The sequence below is a fragment of the Homo sapiens genome, chromosome 6, assembly GCF_000001405.40.
Source record: "Homo sapiens chromosome 6, GRCh38.p14 Primary Assembly".
NCBI classification, from domain to species: Eukaryota; Metazoa; Chordata; class Mammalia; order Primates; family Hominidae; genus Homo; species Homo sapiens.
In genome coordinates this window covers 38,998,967-39,017,654 of record NC_000006.12, presented here as the reverse complement: position 1 = coordinate 39,017,654, position 18,688 = coordinate 38,998,967, and the positions used below count along the sequence as shown (strand labels likewise).

Below are 18,688 nucleotides of genomic sequence, written 5' to 3'. Positions count from 1 at the left end.
TGAGAAAAAAATAACAGAAAAAAGTGGGCACAATTTGGCATCTAAATGGCATCAAGCTCCAGATTGAGCTAAACGTTCGGAAAATAACGGGACTGCATGGTTCAATCTACTATAGAGGTGTGAGACCTGGGGAACACACTCAGCCTCTGCCTCCATTTCATTAGCAGCCCCTGTGAGTCATAGCTAACATCAAATGGCAAAGCATGGCTATCAATTAAGATGTTCTGAAAGGCAGTCAATACCCTGGCCTGAAGTCAGGCTCATTACGACTATATTCTTTGGGTTTAAACACATCCCCACACACAGCACAGACATGTACACACACTTGCAAGCTCATGCACCAGAATCTAAATCATGTTACACGATGCACTGAAAAGGCGCACCTTCGGGAAAAACAGACCAGGGCCATCCTTTGCGACACCCGAGAAAAACAATCTTAAATAATGTGGGAAGATGTGCACCAACAACTGCTGGGAAAACCCAGTGGAGCACAAAGGTTCCCCTGGCCTGAGTAATCTGCTGGGAGACAAATCCACACACAGAAAAAAGCTGCACATTGAAAAAACTATCACAGGGTCACAGATATAGAGAGCTTGACTATTTTAATCATCCAGTCTAATTGCCACATGGTTGAGCTCATCAATTGCTACAGAAATGATTGTGAGGGGTGCTGAAAATGCCAGATGAGCTCCACGGTGGCTGACTCAGCCTCTTCAAATATGACAGACAAAATATCAGGCCACCCATAAGGCAAACAGCAGTGCTACAAACAGCAGAAGCTCAGGTGCTGACCAGGGGCAAGCAAGGCATGTCACTTGTCCTTGAGGTAGCACGGACCTCAAAGTCACTTAGGCCTGTGGAGCAGTCACCAGAGGGTCAATGAGGGAAACACACTAAACAGCATCAGATGCCACATTGCATTATACAATTATAAACATTAGCAATCACACGTGAATAAAGCCTTTGCAGGTGTTCTATAGTCTTCCTTATGGTCCAGGTGATTTTGATTACTGCATATATATTTGTGATGAAACTACAGCCTTTATACAAACTGCACTGTGTTTTACTTAAATATGTAGGGCTTTTTTCTTTTTTTTTTTTTTTGAGACAGAGTCTCGCTCTGTTGCCCAGGCTGGAATGCAGTGGCGCGATCTCGGCCCACTGCAAGCTCCGCCTCCTAGGTTCACGCCATTCTCCTGCCTCAGCCTCCCGAGTAGCTGGGACTACAGGCACCCACCACCAAGCCCAGCTAATTTTTTGTATTTTTAGTAGAGACGGGGTTTCACCGTGTTAGCCAGGATGGTCTCGATCTCCTGACCTCGTGATCCGCCCGCCTCGGCCTCCCAAAGTGCTGGGATTACACGCGTGAGCCACCACGCCCTGCCTATGTAGGGTTTTTTATTTAAAGCCATTTACTTAAATGTTTTGAACCAAAGAAAGAAATTACTTCATTGAAGAGGACTGAATTAGAGGACATAAAACCCAGGAGATACATTCATGTTGGGAGATCAACTGTTGATGTCAAATAGTGTCCAGCGAGGCTTCCAGTGGGAAAGGACTCTATCTGTTTGCACACTCCCTGGGAACATGTATGGAGTAGCTGTAATCTTTATTTGCCAGATTTGGCCAAGTGAGGTGGAACAGAAAGTAATTTGTCCCTCATGTCAAGAGAATGAAAAGAGAGCAGAGAAGTGATTAGTGTGCAGGAAGAGTTGACTTCCAGTCTTCTGTGCGACTAACAGAAAGCAGTCATGGATAAGGGTGTGTGTGTGCTTGTGTGTAAAGGGTAGGATGTTTGAATAAGTTAGGGCTTTCCAAGACATGGAGAGACCTGAGAGAAAGAATCAAAGTCTAACTTGAAAGCAGAACTGAAGAAAAGGGAAAAGATAAGTATTATTAACAAATGAAGGAAAGTAAGGCATTAACTGAAATGTGATGTATTAGTCCATTTTCACACTGCTATAAAGACATACCCGAAACTGGGTAATTTATGAAGGAATGAGGTTTAAATGGACTCAGTTCTGCATGGCTGGGGATGCCTCAAGAAACTTACAATCATGGCAGAAGGGGAAGCAGGCACGTCTTACATGGAGGCAGGAGAGAGAGAGTGAAGGAGGAACTGCCAAACACTTATTAAACCATCAGATCTCGTGAGAACTCACTCACTATCACGAAAGCAGCATGGGGAAAACCACCTCCATGATCCAGTCACTGGGATTACTATTTGAGATGAGTTTTGGGTGGGGACGCAGAGCCAAACCATATCATGTGAATCTACATTTGTATTTCTTTAAGTATTGTTTGGCTTTGTAACATTTCTTAACAAATATTAACAATTAAAGATCAGTTCATATTAACACTTTGCTTTTTAAAGTTATATTTTGAATGAAAAAAATCACTGAAAAAAATTATGTGCATTCGTGACTATGGAAAGCCAGGGATGAACCAACTCCACTCCCTTGGTTTCTAAATATCAAAGATACATTCAATAACCTCACACTTTTGAAAATCATTGGTCCTTACGCCTCTCCCAACTCCAAGTCTGCCAACATACCTCTCCAGTGCTCCCTGTCTCTCTGCCCTACCTGTCCCTCTCCCAATGTTCCCTGTCTTGTACCTTGCCTCCAGCCTACATTGTCCCTCCTTGCTCTCTCAGAGACCCCCATTTAATCACTCCATCAAATCTGTTCCCTCCTTGGCACCTGGTTAAGGTCCCAGGCCCTCTTCCTTGGACCTGGCAAGAGTCTCATTGCACTGGGCCTCCATATTCCAGTCCCTCACTTGCCTTCTCTTGGGATTACCTTCTGATATACAGCCCCAACCCCTGAGGCCCCGGAAGATTTTTCATACTCCAGCCTCATTCCCCACTACCCCCAGCCTTGCTCCTGAGCCCTGGCCACACTGGTCTCCCTGTTCCCCTGAACAAGACTTGTTTTTGCTCAGGCCTCTACCTGGAAAGCACCCGCTCTTTTTTTGGCATCCCTGCTTCTGCAAACCCTACTCACTGCTTCCTGTGTGAAGCTCTTGGCAGAATTAATCTCTCTGTCCTCTGGGCTACCATGGCACTTAGTTCTCACACAGTGGGGCACTTATCACATTACATTAAGGTTGCTGATGTGTCTGTCTTACCAACCAGATTATAGGCTCCTTTAGGGCAGGAACCAAGTCTCAAATCTCTCTTCATTGAAAGTACCTAGCAGAGGGGCTGGCAAATGGGAGGTGGTCAAACAATCCTTATTAAGTTAAATGCTATTACTTCATGCTCCCCAGCCAGAAATTACCTGGTGACGACTTACTCAAATTGAGGCTCATACGGAGGAAAGAGACTCATAAGTAGACACACAAAATCTGAGACCCATAATAAAAAATGTTCCTCCCCTAACTCAATGGAAATTCTGGGAGAAAAATAGATAAGTGAAATCTGGGGGCTGCCCTTTACAACTCTAAAGGCTACGGACTTTATAAAATACTATGTATAATTTGATATGTTCATAGAAATCACCATGGTTAGTGTTTCAAATTTAAACATTTTTAAGGTATTGGAAAATGCATACAGTGAATGAATGTATGTATACAAAGGACAATTAAATACATATTTTTCATGTATAATATTGATCAAAGTATGCTTTACACAAAAAAAACCCTGCACAAATCATCAGTATACAGCAATATCAAGGAATTTTCACCAAGGGAATTCAGCCACATAACCAGTATCCAGATCTAGAAGTGAAACATTCCTGGGCCCCAGAAGTCCCTTGTGCCTTCTCTCTCTCTCTCTCTCTTTCTCTCTCTCTCTCTCTTTTTTAGATAGGGTCTCACTCTGTTGCCTAGGTTGAAGTGCAGTGGTGCAATTATGGCTCACTGCAATCTTGATCTTCCAGGCTCAGGTGATCCTCCCACCTCAGCCTCCCAAGTAGCTGGGACTACAGGCACATGCCACCACACCCAGCTAATTTTTATATTTTTTGTAGAGACAGGGTTTTACCATGTTGCCCCACTGGTCTTAAACTCTTGGGCTCAAGCAACTTGCCCACCTTGACCTCCCAAAGTGCTGGGATTACAAGCGTGAGCCATCGCTCCTGGCCCTTTGTGCCTTTTTCTAATCACTGCCCTCCTTCTACAGTCATTATCCTGACTTTGAACACTATAGAGCCATTGTGCCTGTTCTTCTTCTTTGTATAAATGGAACCATACCGCATGTAATGTTTTCTGTTTGGTTTCCCTTACTCAACATTATTTTATGAGATGCACCTATATTGCTACAAGAAACAATAATTCATCCTAAATCTGTAAGTGTGAATGTTTCTAAAATTTTATTACAAATGGAGCCATAAGCTGCTGAACCATAAGGAATTCAACATTTCTTCATTTTCACCAAGAATTACTTGAAGTAAAACTATCCATATTTTAGTAAGACAAAATGTGTCATGTTTCTGAACCTTACAAACTCTATGACATCAAGCCATTAACTTTCTCAGTAAACATTTCTAGAAGGAAGGAATAAATGAAGCAGAATTATAAAGCACTCTTTCAGGAAAAAAGAAAAAGAAAACTAGAAAACTGAGTGGGGGAAGACCCCCCTGAAGTTCTCTGAATACTTTTGTCACAGTCATTTTTGAAACCAATATAATTTTCTAAACCCTGGAAACAATTTTTGCATCTTTTGGTGCTTCATTTTTGATATTTCACAAACATTTAAAAACTATAAGTTAGAGAGAAACTTCTTTTTACTCTTTCATGTGTCCTAACCCCAGACTGATGGTTTGCTGAAGTTGGTGAAAAGAAAAAGGAAGGATTTTGCTACCACATTGTAAAGAATTGATAGGAAGAGCTTCAGATTGAATTTGTAAAACAAATACAGAAGAATTATTTGTGTTCTTTCGCCTTTGAATGGCTATGTGCAGCACCCAGCAAGCTACGCCTCCATATTGTTTTATATGGTATATATTTATCACACGATGCTACTATCCAACAATACACAAATTCCAAGCTTGCCAAATCTCCTATGAGCACATACCTTGGGGATTAAAGAAACCAGTCATCCAAAACACATTAGGCCTCCCTTCAAATATCCACGTAGAAAACTGAGCATTTCTTTCCAAAAGTTCAGTGAACCAGAAGCCCAGTGTGGACGAATCCCAAGACACTCTTTTCCAGAGCTGAGGTATACGAGCATCATACATGTTGTCCAGAGCATCTCTCAGATTCTGGAGAAGAAAAAGTTAAAACACATGAATAAGAAACATCAACAAAGAAGGAAATGCCTACTGATGTAATAACAGCTCACCTCACTCATAATGATTGTTCCTTCAATGGCCAATTTTAGATCACTCAGGCTACTGCGGAGTATTGAAATGACTCTTTGCATTCTGTCAATTTCTTGTCTAAGAAATATGTTCATTGAATTAAGATGGCCCATCTTTATCAAACGAGATTTCACCTAAAACAAAGTAAACAATGCAATAAAGGAGATTTTCTCATCTGACATTTCTCTTCCAATAACCTCTTCTTTCTCAATTCTTTTTCTTCCTCTAGATGTATCTCTACCAGCCCAAATGAATTCTAAAATATGTCTTGCAGAACCAAACTTGCCATTAAACTTTCCATTTCCTGCGTTTCCAAAACTACTGTTCAACTAAAATGATTTTTATTTCTTACTGATTGTACTTAGCTAATAATTGGAAATGTACCTTAAAGAGCTGAAATAAAATTGTACCTTTTTCTCCTTTCACATGATTAAGTACTGGGTGTCAGTTAGATATTCTTTTTGCAATCTAACCTTCATAGGGGTACAGTGGAATTTTTTTCTTCATTATGTTTGCAGAGTTATTAGAAATGTCATAGAAAGTTAATACAGCAAAAATCTTTACAGAGCAGTTACCAACAAATATGATTAGCTATAGTTTCCAAAGATCATTGTTGCCTTAGCTATGACAGCTAAAGAGAGCCTTTCCTAATCCAATCAATGAAAATATTTGATTTTGTGGGACAGCCAGTTAAATATCTGTCATTTGTTCCTTTTGATGTATCACTTATTGACTATTTTGAAGAGATCAATACAAAAGCCTCTGGTTGTGGGAACAATAAAATATGACAATTATTGGAAAACAAGCCAATGCAATATACACATTTCAATTTGGTGACATATGCCCAACAAAAGATTGACTACAAATACTGGCAGGAACTCATAAAGGGATTTGAACTTTCTGCTGGCCACAATCAAAGAGATGCCAGAATCAAAGGAACAAGGAAGGGACACATGGAGTGGGAGAGAACTCAAAGTGAGGTATCAATCCAAAGGATCACAGGAGGCCAGGAACTGCAGGATTCTCTGCCAGAGATGCCCACTGCCCCCTCATAAAGCCTGGAATGTTAGAGATGGGTGGGCTTCAGAGTCATCTGAACCATTCTCCTCCTTTTATAGGACAGGCCTCTAGTATGGTGCAGAAGTTTCCTTTCAGCAAGGGACACCTCTGTTTACTGCAATTGGGTTGTTTCTAGTGAGTGAAAGAGGAAGACGGAAAGCACAAAAAGGGAAGGAGATATAACACTGAGCACAGATATAAAATAGGCAGCCTGAATAGGACTACCTATGCGGGTGGAGCAAACTATATTAAAATCAGTCAAGCATGCCAGTGGAGGTCCCTAACGCAGTCCGACGTAGCAACCTTCAGCTACTCTTCAGAATTCTTGGTTCTAGAGCCTACATTTTTGCAGCCTCCAGTGCCTCATTCTCATCTCCATCCCAAGTCCTTCAACCTCCAGTGGCTGAACAGCATATGTATATGCTATACATACATACATACATACATACATACATACATACATACATACGTGTGTGTGTGTGTGTGTGCGTACACGTGCGTGTGTGTGTATATATATATATATAAATTATATCTATATATAATTCCCTTTAAATCAATCCATCTCAAGAGTGGAAATTCACTCTTAAGGAAAAGGGAAATTATAGAAATACTTTTGCAACCCCATGAGTGGAAAATAAAGCTCAGGTATTGACTACAGTATCAAATCAATAGCCCAGGTATCTCTAGTATATTAACAGTTTCAAACAAATCACCTTGTCCTGCTTAGGGTTTTAAAAGGGAAACTTTACTTGAGATAGAGACATGCTTAGAAAAACCTTAAACCCTAGAAAATGTAATTCTAGTCCTGATTTTGAGTATAATTATTGTTCCAGCCTAAAATTGTCTTTTTATTAATAAAATTTAAGACTTGCTGTAGCCTTATATAGCATTTTCATTATGTTTCTGGGACCAGGTAGTATTCTCTACAATAATGTAGCTTCATTTTTACTACAGAACTCAATGGTATAATTATATTTTGATTTACAAAATTCACTTTACAGCCACCTGTTCAAGAAAGATCTCTTCTATAAAATAAGACACTAAAAAGTAAGTGATCTTGGAACAGGGACAAGTTTTAGATGTCTCTTAGTACAAACTCTTTCCCATATAGGAATCCATTTAGTTACACCCCTGATGCTGTTTCTGCTGGAATAATCACCAGAACAAAGGTCTTGTTGGTGAAGTGGCCCCAGCTAAGACTGGACAGCTCGAATTATCACAAGGTCTTGAACCTTTCCCCTGGCAATAGCAGTCCTGTGGTGTAATCTTTTAGAGTAAGTTTTATCTCACTTTCACATGCCAGTATTAAAAATCTTTGAAGGCAAGTATGCTGCCTTGTTTTTTGAAGATCACACCAATAAAACTATTGAAAGTGTATACTTACAATATTTATCCATTTAAAAATATTTTCTCCCCTTACTATAACTATCTCTACATGAAGCTATTGATTTCAATATCTTAACCAAAGGTCTTGGTACCTATCTACACAATGGAAACAATAATTATTTTAAGAGGCAATAAAACATTTTTTATTGTTGGGACACTCATTGCATGCTAAAACTAGTTAAGACTGCAGGTTCTAGAGTCAGATCACTTTGTATTCAAATTCTTGCTCTGCCACTTAGCTTGATTTCTGCTGGTGCTGTCCTGAGCACTGAGTGTCATAATGTGTATGAAGCACTTCGGACAGTGTCTGGCTTGTAATGAGTGCTCAAAAACACAGCTACTGTCCCATGCCACCCCATTCTAATCAATGAATAAGTGTGGTTCTTAGAAGACTTCAGATTGGTAACAGGGTGCTTATATTCATAATATCTCCACTAATTGTTCTACCCTATTCAATGAGTTTCAGAAGTGATTAAAAATCAATGGAATAGATGGGTGGATCATCTACCTACAGTTAAAACACTTGGAACGTCTTATAGAATACCAAATGACCAACACCATTGCTTTTTGGCCTTAAAGATTTTTGAGTTTTTTTTTTTTTTAGCACAGCTTAAGGTATCATAGAAATTGATATATAAATGGGTCACCGTGGAAACTTTGATTGAGGAGGAATTAACTTGTGAAGGAATTTTTAAAAGAATGCAACAGAAAAGCATCATGGAAAATGTTTTCTTCTGATATTTTTAAGTTTTGAAGAGAGAACTATGTGAACAATGAGAGATGCAGAGTTTAGTAATATAGTCAAAATTTTTCACACAGGTAATCTGCCACATAGTCACCAACAGGTAGATTTCTTGCTTTTCAAGGTAATCAAACTTACTGTTTAAATATACAAATAGCCCTGTATGCCAGTGGGAAACCAGCAAGACTTACCTCATGAGGAATGTAATCAGGAGGGAGTTTACTCAGCATATCTTCAGATAATCTATAAACAATAGCCTCCCGGGTCTCTCCCACACCACCTCCACTCTCTTTGGGTTGAATGTTGGTAATTGTTTCAAGAACAGCAGAAGCAGTGTTACTCTGATACCTAGTAAAAAGAGTGAGCTGTTCAGAATGTTACAGGGAAACATGTAAGAGATAAGTGTCAAGTGTTAAAATGAACTGATAGAATCACTTAAATCAAAGCAAGCTACAAAAAAAAAAAAAAGAAGAAAAGTTAACTACCATCAACCTAGAGGAATGAAAGAAACTAGAGATCCATTCTACTGCCTCCTAATAGGACATCAAGAACATCACTGAAATGAAACACTCTCCATCTTCAAGGAAAGAGACCCAAAAACACCCTTGGAAATCCAAATCGCTTCTTCACCATCTTGGTTGTAGCTAACCTGACCACCTCATGCTGAACAGCGGGCACACCTCCTTTCACTCTCCCCTGCTATAGACTGGTCATAAGAGTCTATCATTATAGGACAGCTTGTTGGCTCAAAGAGGAACATTCATATTTCCTCACTGAGTTATAACCTATTAAAATATTTTCGTCTTTTCTGCTTGGTTTTCTCATTTTTCCACTAGTTTTATGATTTCCAGGGAAATCTATTGACGCCCATCGGCTCCACCTGTTCAAATGCAGCCATGCATCTTTAAATCCATTTATTCAATAAAGATTTACCATGTACCAGGCACTGAGCTAAGTTCTAGAATATGGCAGGGAATAGGACATAGTTCTGTTCTCTAGTGGAGGAGATAGATATTAGATAATCCCATTCTAACAAGTGCTGTGGAGGGAAAGAACAGGATGCTTTCAGAGAGGTTTGATTCTCTCATTCCCACTCTCTAGCTTTCTTTCAGGTCGACCAGACACTCTGAGATGCATGAATTTAGTCTCTGTCCCTGAGATGCTGGGTTGACCAGTTACCTGGACATTTGAGTAGAAATGTGTGTGTGTGTGTGGGTGGGTGGGGGGTGGGGCGCTGTATGTGCCTGTGTGTGTGTATGTGTTTGTGTGCCAGAGGTAATTTACACTAGAAGATTAGTAAAAGTTAAAAAGTCACATGTAAGCTGAGACCAGAAGGATGAACAGGTCAGCCACGCAGTGGGGTGGGGTGGTGGGAGGCAGAAAAGGACATTCAGATAAGAAGTAAGGGTTGGGGTGAAAAGGGTTTCAGTGCATTTGAGGAACACAGATAAGGCCAGTGAGCTTGGAGCTAGTGAGCTAGGAGGAGCGACAAGGACAGAGAAGAGGCAGGAGCCAGACCATGCAGGGTTATATGGGAACTTGTAGGATTCTGAACACCACCCTAAAGGCAATGGGCAGCCACTGAAGATTTCCCTAGCCAGGTGTGACATGGTCAGATTTAAATTTTTCAGCCTTTTCTGAACTCCTAATTTACCATCTATACACTTCACATAATTTTATTTTGGAGGATTATTGTTTTGTTTGCTAATTTTGTCTCTTGTCCAGATGTTAACCACATTCATATTTCCTTTTGTAGATGTGAGAGGCAAATCTAAAAGGGATTCAGCAAATGCTTGAGATTAGTGGCTTGTTTTTCTGTTTTATTTTCTTGAACAGAAAACAAGCCATTGTAATATGGAAATATATACATCTAAATATTATACTTGCATACCTTTTAATATAGCAATTCTACACCTAAGAATTAATCCTTAAAAAGAAAGAGACATTTGACATTTACATTTCTGACGGTATGGTGCAAATGTTACTGTGAACCACCCTTCTGAAACAACTAAAACTTCTGGAGAAGATATGAAAAACATCCTTTTAAAAACATCACTGAACTGGCAATACAATAAAAAATCCTCAGGGTCAAATAAAATGAATGCTGGAAATAAAGTGAATGCTGGAATCCAGAGAGATAAAGCCAGATTTTACCCTGGGGGCATCAACTAACTGGTGTTTTTGAGTTTCTGTTTGGATAGTGCAATGAGACAGGAGAGAAGCCCTCATACCTGAGGTGGAAAGCATAATAGGAAATTCCTACATAAATCTGGGACCCCACACAGCTACAACCTCAGTATAAGGGTAAACTAGAAAGTAACCTCCACCTGTCAGAAGAAGATGATAGGTAACTTGTTCTACCTAGCTTAGCACTAAGTGGGGGAAAAATCTTTCCTGAAAATTCTGAATTCACCATGTTTGTAACATTAGTTAACATTTACTCATATTACCTGTGCAATTTGGAAAAGCTCAAGCCAAGAATTTATTTTAAGGTGGTCCTAGGAAGTCCTAGGTGGCACCTGATGGAAGCAAACACAACTCTTTCCTGGAACAATATACCTTTGACTCAGGTCTCAAATAATCCAACAGTCAATTTCCAATAGACATAAGCTCAAAGTCAAAAGTTTAAAAAGTTGTAAGGAAACAAGGAACTGTGAGAAAGAGCCAGTAGAAACAACAGAAATCAGAATCAGACCTGTGGAGATCTTAAGTGACTTTTCAGATGCACACTACAAAATACTGTATTTGCAATATTGAAGAGTTTTAAAAGGAGACTGAAAATACAAGTATTAAAGAGGAAACTATAAACATGAATAGCATATTTGAAAAAGAGTTAAAAAGAAGTTCTAGAAATAAAACATAACTAAAACTTAAAACCTATACTATTTATTGCTGCTATAACAAATTGCCACAAAGTCAGCAGCTTAAAACAAGACATATTTATTATTTTACAGTTCTGTAGGTGCTAAATATGACACAGGTCTCACTGGGCTAAAATCAACACATCAGCAAGGCTGGGTTCCTTTCCATAGGATGTAGGAGAGGATCCATTTCCTTGCTTATTTGGGTTGTTGGCAGAATTAACTTCCTCGAGATTGCAGGACTGAGGTACCCAATTTCTTGCTGGCTGTCAGCTGAAGGTCCTTCTCAGCTACTAGAGGCCACCTGCACTTCTTGGCTTGTGGCCCACTTTCTATATTTGCAAAGCCAGTAATGGCAAGCCAAATCCCTCCCGCCCTTGGACTCTACATGTAGATACATCACAGTAAAACCGTAGAAAACCAAAAACAAAATGAACATCTTAAAAGGAGCCAGAGAGAAAGAGCAGATTATCTAGAAAGAAATAACAATTACACTGGCAGTCAATTCCTCAACAGCAGCAATGAAATCCAGAAGAAAATGGAAAAGTGTCTTCTAATTGCTAGGATAAAATAACTATATACCTATAATTGTGTGCCAAACAAAACTCTCTTTCAAGAATGAAGGCAAGAAAAAATATTTGAATAAACGTTTCATCAAAGAAGAAATACAGATGGGTCAATAAGCACATGAAAATATGTTCAGTTTCATTATTTATTAGGAAAAGCAAATTAAAACGACAATGTAATACTACCACTTCACATTTACAAAGAATGGTTATGATCACAAGACACATAATAACAAATATTGGCAAGGATGTGGAGAAACCTGAACCTTCGTAATTGCTAGAGGGGATTGTAAAATGGTGCAGTCACTTTGTTTTGTTTTGTTTTGTTTTTGAGACAGAGTCTTACTCTGTCGCCCAGGCTGGAGTACAGTGGTGCTCGCTGCAACCTCCATCTCCTGGGTTCAAGCAATTCTTGTGCCTCAGCCTCCTGAGTAGCAGAGACCATAGGCGTGCACTACCACACCCAGCTAATTTTTTTGTACTTTAGTAGAGAGGGGGTTTCACCATTTTGGCAAGGCTGGTCTTGAACTCCTGAGCTCAGGCAATTCACCCACCTTGGCCTCCCAAAGTGCTGGGATTACAGGCATGAGCTGCTGCTCCCGGCCTGATGCAGTCACTTTGGAAAGCAGTTTGGCAGTTTCTTAAGATGTTAAGAATAGATTATGACCCAATGACCCAATAACTACATAACATTCCTAGTTATCTACACAAGAGAAATGAAAAGACATGTCCACACAAAGACTTGCACATGAATGTTCATAGCAGTGTTCTTAACAGCCCCAAAGTAGAACATGCCCAACTATTCATCAGCTGGTAAATGCATAAACAAAATGTGGCACTGGAATACTATTTGGCAATAAAAACCAAGGAAGTATTAATATACGCTACAACATGGATGAACTTCAAAAACATTATGTTAAGTGAAAGAATCCAGACATAAAAGATCACATAATGTATAATTCTGCTTATGCAAAATGTCCAGAAAAGGTAAATTTACAGAAACAGAAAGTAGATTAGCAATTGCCTGAGGCTGGGGATGACAGCCTGGCACAAATGGGCCCAACATTTCTTTTTAGAGTGATGGAAATCTTATAACGTTATATTGTAGTGGTAAACTTACTAGAAATCATTTATTGTCCACTTGAAATGAGATAATTTAAGATATGCAGATTACATCTCATAAAAGCTGTTTTTCAAAAAAGGAAGGCAAAATAAGGCATTTTCATACAAAAATAGAAGAGTTTATCATCCATAAAAGAATGTCCCCCTCATGGTGGAGTATACTTTAGAAAGGAGGGAGGTTATTCTGTTGGAAGGTTTGAAGTATAGAAAAGAATGGGCCAATGCATAGGTAAGTCTAAATAAGCATTATAGTATAAAACAATCATTGTATGTCTAATTGTGGGATTATAAAAGATAAAATTAAAATACTGAAATGTCAGGAGGAGAGTGACTGTAGCTAAAGTTATCTAAGAGAAAGGAAAGTAAATATGTTCATTTTATTTATTATTTATTTATTTTAAAGAGACAGGTTCTCGCTCTGTTGCCCAGGCTGGACTTAACACTCTTGGGCTCAAGCAATTCTCCTACTTCAGCTTCCCAAGGAGCTGGGACTACAGGTACACACCACCATGCCTAGCATAAATATATTAATTTTAGACCAAAATAAGAACTGACGTTAAAATTTCTAGGGTAACTGGTAAAAGAACAGAAACAGAGTACATAATTTCCAAACTAGAGAAGAGAAAAAAAATGAAATGGGAAAAGTCTTATTTAGCAAAAGCCAAAAAGGAAGAAGAAGAAAAGAAGCAAAACATAGAAAGAGTGGCGTAAAAAAGCAACATTGTATATTTGTCCTTTACATTTTATATACAGTATATATATTCTTTTGTATTTATTCAATGTTTAATAAGGCTGTTTTAGAAGCAATAATCAGACAAGTGTACAAAGATGAATCTATATGACTTTATAACAGTATTTGTAATAATAAATCCTAGTAAAGCTTTATAAAAATCTATATAGCCAATAAAAATGCTGATGTAGCTGTATATTCATTGATCATGCGAGGTGTCATTGGGGGATTATAGAATAAAATAACATGGCATCAAACCCAGTTATGGTATGATCTAATTTTGTTGTTAATATTGTGCTTATAGACACAGAAAAAAACTAGAAGGGTATTTTTGCAGTAGGATTTTTGTATGATGAGCTTTTTATGTAATTATTAGTTTCTTTTTGCTGTTTATTTTTCTCTATTGTTTATGCTTCTCAATAAGAATGTAGGACTTTTAGAATAAAGAATATTAAAAATCATTTTCAGTTTGAAAAACAGAGAAAAATAAATCCCCATAAGGCAAAGCCCATCACAGTTGTCAAGAAGTTAACAGAGATAAATCAGGGACAAATATTTCAGGTTCACTGAGATGCATCTTACAAACCCTTACTCTTTATGCCCCACCAGAAAGCGCCCCCTTCTGCCTTTTCTCTGCAGTGTATGGAAAGAGAGAATTGCATCCTTTTCTCTCCTCCTTCCCTGGTGTCAGTTCCACAGCCTTTTGTGAAATTTGCCACACGAATTGGCAGAATCCTAAGAGGCTGCTGGGAAAGTTAACCAGGCTTCTTTGCTTATGAAAAAGCTGCGTGTGGTGGGGAGTAGAGGAAATCCTATATAGCAGCCTTTGGATTCATTTAGGAATAAAGCTGAAGAATGGAGGAGATGCTCTGTCTTCAGCATTTTTATTTGATTAGCAGCTAGAATGCCACATCTGGACCCAAACATGCATACCCGAACTATCTGCATCCTTTCCAAAAGTCATGCCATGATAAATGCATAAGGTGTCATGCTTCACATACAGAACTTTCAGTCAGATACAGTGATACGAGGGTCCTAGTATCAGATCTAGCAAGTGTTTGTAACTCCATCCAGAGTTGGAATATTAGCTTCATATTACCTTTAAATACATGACTTTCCCAGTAAGGATCAATGAAGTAAAACCTGATTTTTAATGAACAAAAATTGACTGTATAGTATATTTTAGATATAACTTAAAATTCTTTTACTATTTCTGTGAGCAACCTCTATTCAGATGTTGGGGATTTGGAATATCCCAAAAGACACTTATCTTAAAAGTTGAAACATGCATGCAGTTGAATACATGAACAGAGAACACAATATTCTAGTAAAATGACACAAAAGGCATTTGAGACCCATTCCGACATTTTGAAATATGGCACAACCCCAGTTTTAAAAAGTCATATAAAGTACCGTATAAGAAAAATACAAATAAGTCTGAGAAGAAAGTTCAATGAAAATAGCTGATGAGACAACAAAATGAAGTCAACAAAAGTCAAGGATCCACATGTTACTATATACATTTTCAGAAATTTAAATTTGTATGTGATTCATATTACTCCATGAGCTCTCTCTAGCATTAGGTACACTACAGATAGAATATGTGGATGAACTGCTATGTTAGGGAAGACAGAGGGGTGTCACCATGGCTGACATCTTACAGAGAGCCACGAAACACCAGGTAAGCCTGGGTAACATTGAACCTCTGACTTTATCATGAACTCTGTGCATCCACATTTCCCTGGAGCCCCAGAGCTCTTTGTTTCCTGTACCAAACAAATCCAAAACCTTATTATTTTAGTTCTCCCTTATCCCTCTCCTGGACTGCTCCTTGCCCCATCTACTTTAGTGACATCAATGTCTGCCCAGTTGCCCAACTGAGAACCCTCAGAGATGGCTTCCTCCTTGCTGTGGCTCCCCAGACCTTCTTAGTTTCCAAGCTCTAGTTCCAAATCATTTCCAGCATCCCCTCCCCGTGACCCACCGTCATCCCCACTGCCTTCAGTTCTGCCCCCTAACTTCCTGATCATCCTCTGTGTGCGGCACTGCCATCACCTCCTAACACATCCTCCTGCCTCCAACCACTGTTCCAAGGTAAGTTTTGACATTTGAAAAGTGATTATTAAATGTATTCGAAGACTCCCCATAACCTTCAGGATAAAATCTGAAGTCTTTCACATGGCATACAAACCTTTTTCATCACTAAGCCTTTTTCTATCTCCAGCTTCTGCTCTTGCTTCCTTCTTTCTTCTTCCCACACTCTACCCTGTGCTGTGAGTTACCTGAAGCTCATCAAGCATTCCATGACTCCCCTCATATTTCTTTGACTGTTCCCAAGTTACCTCCACAGCCTGGAATGCTCTGCCCTCATTTTTTCATCGATTATAGCTCATTCCTAACTAGCTATTAATATTAAGCTCAGCTTAGATGTCTTCACCTCTAGACAGCCTTCCCTAGACTTTCTCCCTATGTGTGCGCATAGCTCTCAGTGCTTGCTTTTATTGTTGTACTTGTCATTCTGTACATGATGACATGCTTGTTTATCTTCATTCCAACTTCAGCCTGAATTATGTGATGGCAGGAAAAGGCTTAAATCTCTGTATGCAAAATGCTAATTCCCATCAACTCATGCAAGCAGAAATGGCCATGTAGAAGGTAGAGTAGGTTAAGTAGATTTAAATAAATGATTAAATAACCGTATTCCAATTTAAAATATTGCCCCAAACTCTTTTGGCAAAACCTTCAAAAGCCACACTCTGCATCGGCCACTCCGCTCTTTAAGCACCCCCCTCCCTCATGCTTTAGGCATACTGGACCTGGTTCCCAGAACTCCCCACACACATTCATGTTTGCATTCCCTTCCTTGGATTGTTCCTTGGTGTGTGCATCCCAGTCTAAGTTCTTGGTCCTTACCGCTCATTATGTTCCTCTTCTTTGTACTCTGTCCTTGACCCCAGTCCTGCAGTCACTTCCTTCCCACCTCATCTCCAATCTGAGAAACTCCTGCACATCCTTTAAGACAGCGGTTCCCAACCTTTTTGGCACCAGGGACTGGTTTTGTGGAAGACATTTTTCCATAGACTGGAGGGGAGGCGGCGGAAAAGTTTCGGGATGATTCAAACACATTACTTTTATTGGGCACTTTATTTCCACTATTATTACATTGTAATATATAATGAAGTAATTATACAACTCACCATCATGTAAAATCTGTGGGAGCCCTGAGCTTGTTTTCCTGAAACTAGACGGTCCCATCTGGGGGTGATGGAAGACAGTGACAGATCATCAGGCATTAAATTCTCATAAGGAGTGTGTAACCTAGGTCCCTGGCATGCGCAGTTCACGGTAGGGTTCTCGCTCCTATGAGAATCTAATGCCGCCACTGATCTGACGGGAAGCAGAGCTCAGGCGGTAGTGCTCCCTCACCTGCTGCTCACCTCCTGCTGTGTGGCCCAGTTTTAACAGGCCACGGACTGGTATTGGCTTGTGGCCCAGGGGTAGTGGACCCCTGCTTTAAGGCACAACTTAAATGGAGCCTGTCTCACTAGCTTTCTTTGATCCCTAAATTGGAATTGATTGCTCCTCCACCTGTGTTATCATAGCAATGTATACATACCCTGATTTTAGAGTTTACCATATTGTACCTCATCAGCATTTGCCATTCATCATCTTCCCCAACAGATGATGCGCTCCAAGAGCACGGACTGCATCTTACTCATCTTTGTATCCCCAGGTTAGCCAGACAGTAAGTTCTCAACAAATGTTTGTTTGTTGAATTGAGGCCAATTGGCTTGCATTTTATTAAACCTCAAATACAAAGGACAGCAATTCTTCAATATTTAAAGGACATGAAAATTTACTTATTCCTTCTTATGGTAAAAACATAGTATATTGTTATTATTGTTTTTTTATTTCCTGGCACCTTTCAATGAATGTGTGTGTGTGTGTTTGTGTGTGTGTGTGTATAAATGCCTTATTACAACTTTTGTATTCATTTCTAATAATGAATTAGGAACATTCATTTCTAATTATTATATATCTATTATATAATATGACAATACAATATAATAATAAATACATCTATAGATATTAGAAATATCTATCTTTCTATCTATCTCTTCTTGAGTCTTTGACAATTGATAAGTTCATTTGTTTTCATAGGATATTTTCACAGGATTCCCCCTCTCAGAGTTACTTGTATTTTTCTTATACTTTATATGACTTTTAAAAACTGTGATCATGCCCTACTTCAAAATTCAGGAATGGGTTGCAAATGCCTTTTGTGCCATATATAAATAGTCCTCAAAACACAGGAGAATCAGAAAGATATAATTTGAGAGTGAAGTAAAACTATTCTTCTTATTATTTTATCAATGCAGATCTTTAATGATTAAAGACAAGAAAACCACAGTAAATTTCCATTCATGCTAAGAAAAGCAGAGTTCATGATTCCTACCTGTTCTAGCTACAAAAAAAAAAAAACAGCCCCCATATCCAAATTCTCAGGTGCTCTCTCAGTCACCTTCAGCTTGAGCCCTCCGTGGAAGTGTGCTCAGCACCAGGGGCTAGGTCCCAACAGTGCACACCATTGCAGAGATGACCATTTTGCTCTCTGCTGACTCTGGCCAAGTTCACTGGTGCTCCAAGGAGAGGCTGATGGAGATGCTGCTGCTGCTAGATCCCACCTAATAAATCACTTTCATGATGAGTGATTTAATTTTTTATGAGATGATCTGAACACGGGCCTCAAAACATAGATGTTGGGAAGAAGCCTTGAAAAGCTGATCCACTGTGAATAAGAGCTAGCCAAGCTCTCCCCAACACACATTTTACTATGCACAGAATGTCATTCCCTGGTATTCCAGGGCTGAACAACTCACATTTCTTTTTCCACAATGTGATTTTATGTTTGCAAA

At 39.2% G+C, this 18,688-nt stretch overlaps 1 protein-coding gene across 6 annotated transcripts in view; it reads right to left on the bottom strand.

Annotated features, from left to right (window-relative positions):
• The window catches only part of DNAH8 (dynein axonemal heavy chain 8), a 315,482-nt gene that overhangs the window by 13,138 nt on the left and 283,656 nt on the right, over positions 1-18,688 (bottom strand). For all 6 annotated transcript variants that reach the window (XR_926078.3, NM_001206927.2, XM_011514319.3 and 3 more), the window contains 3 exons: positions 8,685-8,841; positions 5,288-5,440; positions 5,018-5,207 (listed from right to left, as the gene is read on the bottom strand). Coding sequence is in view for 5 of the 6 variants with exons in the window: in NM_001206927.2 (NP_001193856.1) it covers positions 5,018-5,207; positions 5,288-5,440; positions 8,685-8,841 (500 nt within the window). In the remaining variant the exon portion in view is untranslated. The remainder of the gene's footprint in view (positions 1-5,017; positions 5,208-5,287; positions 5,441-8,684; positions 8,842-18,688) is intronic.